The following is a 9,686-nucleotide window of genomic DNA, read 5'->3' on the forward strand; positions in this document are numbered from 1 at the left end:
GGATGTACTGTGTCCATGTCTTTTCAGATAAACCCAGTTGCCTCACACCCCTGGGTGCTACTTCAGGCTGACAGGCACCTCTAGACTCCCACCATTCCTCTCTTCCAGGTAGAAGAGGATTTTTCATCCCCATGGGGGAAGGCTCTGAGTTAAGTCTCAAGCATAGACTGGCTGTGAAGTGATTGCAGATTTGTCTTAATGCCAAAGATGAGGCCTAGATGTTTTAGATTTACGGAGTCTCAGTTAAAACATTTGGTGGCTGTTATTAACAGTTTGAGGGGTGTAATTCACGTTTTTAAAGGCATTTATATGCATACACATGTATGCACATTTATCAATTTACATTTTCCACATAAATGTACCTATATTATTCTTTTTTTTTTGAGACAGGGTCTCACTTTGTCACCTGGACTCGAGTGCCATGGTGTCATATCGGCTCACTGCAACTTTCACCTCCTGAGCTCAAGCAATTCTCCTGCCTCAGCCTCCTGAGTACCTGGGATTACAGGAGCGCACCACTGTGCCCAGCTAATTTTAGTATTTTTAGTAGAAACAGGGTTTCACCATGTTGGCCAGGCTGGCCTCAAACTCCTGATCTCACGTGATCCCCCTTCCTTGGCCTCCCAAAGTGCTAGGATTACAGGCGTGAGCCACCGCACCCGGCCCCTATATTATTCTATTATTCTATGCTTTTTACACTTATTTTGTCTGTGAGAGCTTTCCATATCAGCTTTTATAGGTATGCTCCTGTCTTTATTCACTGTTGCATAGCATTCCATATTGTGCCAGAAGTATTTAATTATGCTCCTAATGATGCAAGCAGAATGTCATTATTTCTGTTAGTACTATGAAAGGACTAAAGTTCATATTTTTGTACATGTGGCTTTGTGCACATAGGCAAATATTTCTAGAGGAGAGATTCCTAAGAGTGGAAATGCTAAGTCAAAGGCATACTTATGCACATGTAATAAATTGTATAAAACTGAAGACACACACAGGAATGAGTACAAGTAAAACCGGGGAATTGAATAAGATCAGTAGATTGTATGAATGTTGATTTCCCAGTTACAATATTGTACTATAGTTTTGCAAAAAGTCACCATTGAGGGAAACTGGGCAAAGTGCACTGGAGATCTCTATGTGATTTCTTACAACTGCATGTGAATCTGTAATGATCTCAATACAAATTGCACTTTTTGAAAAGAGGCTGCTCATTTAAAATTTGGATAAACACTACTAAACTTCCCTCTATCTCTATTTGCAGAATTAACTGAGAAGGCCATAAGCATACAAATTCTTTACCACTCCATCAGGAAAGATCTGAAGAATGATACATTTGTTTGGCAGAGAGTGAGGAATTGATTCCCAACACAGACTGGATGAGGAGTTGAACAGAAGGGCACAATGGGGAAACTGGATACTATTTCCTTTCCTTCCCAGTAAAATCTTTGTACTACAGCTTCTTTATTTACTTTTAATTAAATTCCAAGTAGATAAGCCTTTTCCATATTCAAAATTAAGTTCCAAAATGACAATAAAGAAGATTTCCAGGTTGTTTCCCTAGTACCTGGGAGGGAATTAATTCATCAGCCTTTAATCTTCTCATTTTATTTATGATGTTGATCAACACCAGTGAATAGGAGGATTGGAGATGAATTTTTAAACTGTTTAACAACAGTTCTTTACAAGGGGAGTTCATGCATTTGTGGATTTGTATGAGGATAAAGTTGAATCACATGTGTATGAGCTTTGATTATGGAGAAATTGGTTGGCTTACCAACAGCCATAAGAGAAAAGCAATCTTACCAACTTCTAGTCAGCCTTGGTGTGTGTCAGTGTGTGTGTCTGGATGTTCAGTGAAATTGGCACAGGTTAGGTTAGAAAACAGAATGATCGTTGCCTGCAGCAGATGATAAGGCCACAGTCATTCCTCACCAGGAGCAGTGTTCACACTAGCCAGGGCCTCTGCCCCACCCCTCACTTAGATGTCCAAGGCACACCTCAGGTATGGTTTAGGAGACTCTTTCCTCCCCAATGTAGCCGGCTCAAGTCCAGCTGCTAAGAGGCTGAAAACTTAAGAAGCGAGAGGTATGGTGAAAGGAAATCAACTTTATCTAAATGCTGCTGAGAGATGAAGCCAGCTGGAATTCCTGGGTGGAGTGGGGACTTGGAGAACTTTTGTGTCTAGCTAAAGAATTGTAAAAGGACCAATCAGCACTCCATAAAAACCCACCAATAGCGCTCTGTGTCTAGCTAAAGGATTGTAAACGCACCAATCAGCACTCTGTAAAAACGCACCAATCAGTGCTCTGTGTCTAGCTAAAGGATTGTAAGCGCACCAATCAGTACTCTGTAAAAATGCACCAATCAGCACTCTGTGTCTAGCTAAAGGATTGTAAATGCACCAATCAGCACTTAAAAACACGCCAATCAGCGCTCTGTGTCCAAAGGATTGTAAATGCACCAATTAGCACTCTGTAAAAACGCACCAATCGGTGCTCTGTGTCTAGCTAAAGGATTGTAAATGCACCAATCAGCACTCTGTAAAATGGACCAATCAGCGCTCTGTAAAATGGACCAATCTGCAGGATGTGGGCGGGGACAAATAAGGGAATAAAAGCTGGCCACCCCCCCAGCCAGCAGCAGCAACCTGCTCGGGTCTCCTTCCATGCTGTGGAAGCTTTGTTCTTTCACTCTCCAGAATAAATCTTGCTGCTGCTCACTCTTTGGGTCTGTGCCACCTTTAAGAGCTGTAACACTCACCACAAAGGTCCATGGTTTCATTCTTGAAGTCAGCAAGACCAAGAACCCACTGGAAGGAACCAACTCCGGACACATTACCAGTTGGAGAATGGCCTGCCTTTGAAAGACCGTTCCAACTTTTTGGGCTGAGTGAAGGGGTTTATGGAGGAAAAAGGTGTGGGAAAATGTGGGAATATCAAGGGAGGGAAGAGCTCTGTGTGTCTCTTTCCCATGGCTATCTTTACTAATCGCCAGCCCGGAAGTCCAGTTTGTGTCATCCTCACTTCTGCCCGGTAGTGGTGGGCTAACTGTTCATAACTCCCCCAAGCAGGAGGATTCTGCTGCTGGGTCTCTGTGCCTTTTTTTTTTTTTTTGCTTAAAAATTGACCCCTGGAATTTCTAAGCAAGCATGTAATTAGATAAGTGAGCACTGTTCACAAAAGTGCCTGGTGGAAAAGAGAGAAACAAAGAGTTTCAAAGTATGTTTCAACGCTGAAAGCAAGAAAGAAAAAAAAAAGTTTTAAAATGCATTTTGAGGCTGGGATGCTCAGTTACACTGAGACCTTGGGGGAGCCTTCAAAGTCACTTCCAATCAGTCAAAGTTGGTCCAGGAGCTGAAGCTTCTTCTTATTTCAGCTGGCAATTTTTCTAGCACAAAACCTTTAACACCTAAAAGGTATACATCTGCTCTGACAACGTGGAATACTCTGCTTCTACTGCTTTAGAGAGAAGTCAGTCAGTCCTACTCCGCCAAGCAGTACGATAAGACTCAAATAAGAATGTGTTTTTTCAAAAATCTGGCATTATGCAGTATTCTTGAGGAAACAATCAGGCGGATCAAAATTGAGAGATAATCACATAACAATGGGACTGGACTCTTCAAAAATGCCAATGGCATGAAAGTCAAAAGCGGGGACGGGAAGCTTTCTAGATTAAAAGAGAATAAAGAGACTTGGTAACTACGTTCGATGCATGATCCTCAAAGAGATCCTGAATGGTGGAACATGACAGAAAATATATCATTAATGCCACAAGTGTGAGAACTTAAATCTGGATATACAGGATAGTTGTGCATCAGTGTCAAACCTCCTGTGTGTGATTACTACACCACAGTTCCACAGGAGAATCTCTGTGTTCTTAGGAGATGCACACTGAACTGCTCTGTGCTGAACCATATGGGAGCAAGAGGCCAAAAGGGAAATGTATGCCTTTATGCATATTTTGCACCAAGTATAAAAAGTTAATGTAAGCTGCGCAGTCAAAACACAAGTATGTATAAAGCCTGCGTTGCCCAATCTGTTTGCATGGCATTGTCACTCCTCAAAAACCCAGCAGCCACATATCCCAGAACCAGAGGCTGATTGGAAACACTATTCTCATTGCACAATAATGCAGGGACATAAACAACAAGAGCCTGTCTTGCAGGCTATTTTGGCTATCATGGGCTTTTTGCCTTAACATTGACTTTTCAAAACAGTGCACTAAAATATGCACATCAATGACTTTTTTTGCCCTCTTAAATTTTTTGCCTCACTCACCTAATCCTGATTCTAGCCCTGGTGAAGGATCATGATGCCCACAACTTACAAATCGTTCATTTTTTTAATATATGGATATGTGTTAATCATATATGAGTTTACATATATGGGTGTGTGTGCACATGTGCATTTATATATGTATATATGTGTATACATTTGTATATGCATATGTATGTGTATACATGCCTGTATATGTATATGTGTGTATATATGCATGTACATGTATATACATACATGTACTTGTATATATGTGTGTGTGCATACACACATACATAGAGAAGCAAATGTAGCAAAATGCTAACAATTGGTGAATTGAGGTGATGGGCATACAGATATTAATTGTTTTATTGAAAATTTTTTGTAAGCTGGAAACTTCAAGATATAACAACGGTGGGAGAAGAAAAATTAATAAATGGAAATTAAGACCTGGTGTACATTTGTTTACAAGCAAATTTGTTAAAATAAGAAGCTACTATTTCAAGTATGATCTGTGTATTTGTCCTGGTACAGGCTCTGCTAAGGGAAGGAGATGATGTATTCCATATACAAATGGAATATATCCATGCAAGTGCCGCCCCTGGCAGTGATAATGCAATGGGTAAAAACGTGAAGTCCTGCAGTGTGGAGAGCATCCTCCCCCACAAGTTGTGGTTATTCAGCGATTCATCCCTCACCATGGCAGCTTCAGGTGATGTCTCTGAAGTGTCAGCTATTCTCTTTGCGTTCAATTCATAAAATCTTCTCAGCAATGAGCATTGTTACTGAAAAAAGATTCATGTACAAACCTCATGTTTATTTGACAAAGCAATATGAGAAATAAAAGACAGGAGAATTACTTTGGGAGAAACAGTTCCTTAATCAAATGTGAACCAAAATTAGAGACGTTGGATTACATACCTAAACATTTAAATAATTTAAGGAATTTAGAAGGTGTTGAGACTTAAATCTTCAAGTGACATAGCAAGCTTATTTTTTATTTTTTATTTTTATTTTTTGAGACGTAGTCTTGTTCTGTTGCCCAGGCTGGAGTGCAGTGGTGCGATCTTGGCTCACTGCAAGCTCCGCCTCCCGAGTTCACGCCATTCTCCTGCCTCAGCCTCCCGAGTAGCTGGGACTACAGGCGCCCGCCAACACGCCTGGCTAATTTTTTGTATTTTTTAGTAGAGACGGGGTTTCACCGTGTTAGCCAGGATGGTCTCGATCTCCTGACCTCGTGATCCGCCCGCCGTGGCCTCCCAAAGTGCTGGGATTACAGGCGTGAGCCACTGCGCCCAGCCTATTTTTTTTAAATAAAAGGTAAAGGTAGATGATGGACTGATACAGTCATATAAATAATAGCTAGCTAAATAGATGGTAAATACATATATGTCTACATAGACATAGTCAGATGGTTTATGGATAGGCAATATTGGGTATTTGGTTATGAAAATATTCATTCCTTAAAATGATTCATTGTGTATATATTTTAAATTATTTTAAACTATTATTTTAAATAGTTTTTATATGTAAACCACACTTCTGGAAATCTAAGAAATACTTCAAACATTTTTGAAGATTTATTTTAAAATGAGGTTGACATCAATGTTATCTATAATAGCAAGAAACTAGAAATAATTTAAGTATCTAACAATATGGAAATACTTAAGGAATATGATATATTTTAAAAGGTTGTCCCAAAGGGTTTGAAACAGAAAATCATTACAATATGGTTTATGGGAAAAGCTGGAATCATAGATACTTTTATAATAGGATATCTATGTTAAATCAGGCAAAGGAATAAAAAATATGATGCACTGAAAATACTGAAAAATCTTAACAGTAAAAGTTAACTAATAAATATTATATACATATGTGAGTAGTTAGTTATTCCAAAATTCAGTCACCCTGCCAGGGACCTTGCCTAATCAGCTTATCTAAAATAGTAAGCCTCTTTCATCACTCTTTAATCTGCTTTATTTTTCTTTTTATCACTTCCTGATATGATATTATATTTGTATTGTTTATTCCCTGTTGTCCTCACTAACACATGAGTTTTTTGGAAGCAAACAGCATGTCTGTCTTTCACAATGTTCTACAGTGTCTGGCACATAGTAGATGCCAAGTAAAAAATGTATTAAAGGAATTAATTGAGAAGCTATCTTAGGGCACTTCAAATATGACTGAAATTGTAAAAATATACTGTTTTGGGAAAAAAACATCCCATATAGTGTAAAAAGTGAAATAATCTGTATTAGTATCTAAGAACCCCAAACCGCAGGCAAAATGGAAACTGAAGGGTTAATTTGATCAGGTCTGTCCGCCCTGCTTGCTTTTGGTGGCTTGCTTTTTGTTATTTCTTTTCTTTTTTCATGAAGCTGAAGGCTACAGTAGTTGAATGCCACCCTGCTGAACTCTGAAACTTAACCTTCACTGGCTACTTTATAAATAACATTCATAGTTCACCACAGTAATGATTGCTTCAGTTGTTTTTCAGGAACTTGGGCCAGCTCCTGTCCAGTTCAAACCAGTTAAGGCCACTGGCTCTTCAACTAGGCCTCCACAAGTGCCTGAGAAATGGCCTTCTGAATGTCAGAAGACCAAAAATGCCACCCTCAGATCATGCTAATGCCACTATTTTGGGTTTATATGTCCTATGTAATGTCATGAACCCTGGCTATGCTTGCACAGAATAAACCTGTTACTTTTATCCCCACTGTCAATTACTTTTCCCCATGCCTTAGACCACCCCACTTCCCTAACCCGTAAATATAGCTAAGGCTTATCTTTGGGAAGGTGGATTTGAGCACTGTTCTCCTGCTTTCTTGCTTGGCAGCCTTGTGAATAAATCTTTTCTCTTTTGCAAAACCCGTATCACAGTGATTGGTTTACTGCATGCAAGCAGAACAAACCTGGATCTAAAGTTGGTAACAAAATAATGTCATAAAAACCAGATGATTAGTCTGATGGTCTAAATATAGCTTAATGGATTAGGCCTTAAAAGGAACTTAAAGATTACCTCTTGTCTAATACATTCATTCATAAATTGTAAGACATCGGCACCACTCTAGGATTCAGGGACCTGGACAATCAGATGGATTCTGGTGAATGGTTGTTCAGGATTTGAGTGCCACCTCCTCCCCCAACACAAATACAGTCCTACCAGTGTTGGGAGGTCCATATAAATGATTTGTGGCATCCATGGTCTGCAGTTGCAGTGGGCAATGGAACACTTCCCTGGGGTCACAGACTGGTTGAATGTCCTAGAGCCTCCCGGGGCTTAACACAGTACTCAGACATTCAGCAAGATCCCAGATGACAAAAAAAAAAAAAAAAAAAAATGCACTCGCGAGAACACTTTGAAGGAAAGCCTCCAATTCCTAAACGTTCTATGATAGGAAGAGACTGTCCGTTCTTTCCTCTTTGATCGTTCCATGGCTAATGATGGCTCAAATGGCTCCTCATCCTGTTTCAAATCCATCCTTTCTTTCAATCAATTTTCCATCTTTAACATTCTTATGACTATTTATTTGTATGTTATTTGATAAGTTTACTATTCATTCCCTTTGCTAATATTTCTATTCATGAACCTATATTATTCTTATTGGTTTGTAAATGAACTCTTTATATGTTGAAATGTAGATATCAGCTGAGATCATTCTGCCCTTCAATATTTGGGGCGCATTGAATTGTACCTCCTTTCATGGCCATTGGACTTACGCTGTACCTTCCTCAAGATTTGTGAAAATTGACTTTCCTAAGGTTTGCAAACACTCTTCAGTTTTTCTCGTCACATCTCTCATAGAAGGAGAATTTGATCCCACCTGAAACAGGTAAGTTTACATATTGTTTTGCCACCACGTCATGCAATACATATATTATAGCATGTAGAGCCAGATAAATAATCTAGGTTCTTTCCTTAATATCTTCTAAAAAATGCACAAGGTATCATATACATTTTAGACTTTACTGAAGGTTTGGGTAATATTTACATCCTTGTTCACCAAAATTCTCCACTGGGAAAAGGAGAAAGCTAAGGGTGGGATCTGACAGTCTCCTTTGCCCTAGAATATTGACTTTTGATCTGCTATAAATGTCACATACAGTTTTCCTCTATTTTGGTTTGCCATTTCATTTTATATATGGCATTTTTTGCAACATAATTTTTGGTGTATTCCAGTTTATCGGTATTTTCCTTTAACCTTTCTGCCTTTGATATATTTCAAAAATGCTTTCCCTTTCATGTATATTCATGTAATTTTCTTATAGTATTTTTATAGCAGTATTTAATTTTTTAAACTTTTTTTTAAAAACAAGATTTGTTTTGGAAATACGATGTAAGATCAAAATGTAACCTTTTCCCCCCAGATAATTAACTAATTAAGATTATTAGATATTCCAAAATTGTAAAAATCAGAAAATGATTTAGAGTACTGTTAATAGAAATGTAATGTGAGCCACACATGTAATGTAAAATGTTATTACAGTCACACTAAAAAAGTAAAAAGAAAGCCAGTGAAATTAATTTTAATAATATATTCTATTTAACCTAATATATTGAAAAGATTATTTCATTGTGTGATCAGCAAAAAAGTTTTTTCGTTTAATTTTATTTGGTATGTAATAACTGTATATATTTATGGGGTACAGAGTGATATTTTAATACCTAGAAGTAATCAAATCAGGGTGATTAGCATATCCATCACCTCAATCATTTATCATTTCTGCTATGAACATTCAAAATCTTCTCTTCTAGGTTTTCGAAAATACATAATAAATTATTGTTAACCACATTTACCCTACAGTGCTATGAAACACTAGAAATTATTTCTTCTATCCAATTATAATTTTGTATCCATTAACCAACATTGCCCTATTGTCCCCTCCTCACTACCCTTCCCAGCCTCTAATAAGCATAATTCTACTCTCTGTTTCTGTGAGCTCAATTTTTTTAGCTTCCACATGTAAGCAAGAACATATGGTGTTTATCTTTCTGTGCGTGACTTACTTAACATAATGTCCTCTAGGCTCATCCATGTTGCTGCAAATGACAGAATTTCCTTCTTTTTTAAGGCTGAATAGTATTTCATTTTGTATATATACCACATTTTCTTTATCCATTGATCTGTTGACAGACATTTAAGTTGATTTCATATCTTGCTTTTCTGAATAGAGCTACAATAAACATGGAGGTGCAACTACCTCTTCCATACATTGATTTCCTTTCTTTCTGATAAATATCCAGTAATGGGATTGCTGAATCATACTTGACAACAACAAAACAAATAATCTGATTTTAAAATGGGCAAAGGATCTGAATAGACATTTCTCCAAAAAAAAGACATACAAATGGCCAACAGGTATATGAAAGAATGCTCGACATCACTAATCATCAGGAAAATGCAAATCAAAACCACAATGAGGTATCAT

This window comes from Homo sapiens, chromosome X (assembly GCF_000001405.40).
Source record: "Homo sapiens chromosome X, GRCh38.p14 Primary Assembly".
In the NCBI taxonomy this organism is placed as follows: Eukaryota; Metazoa; Chordata; class Mammalia; order Primates; family Hominidae; genus Homo; species Homo sapiens.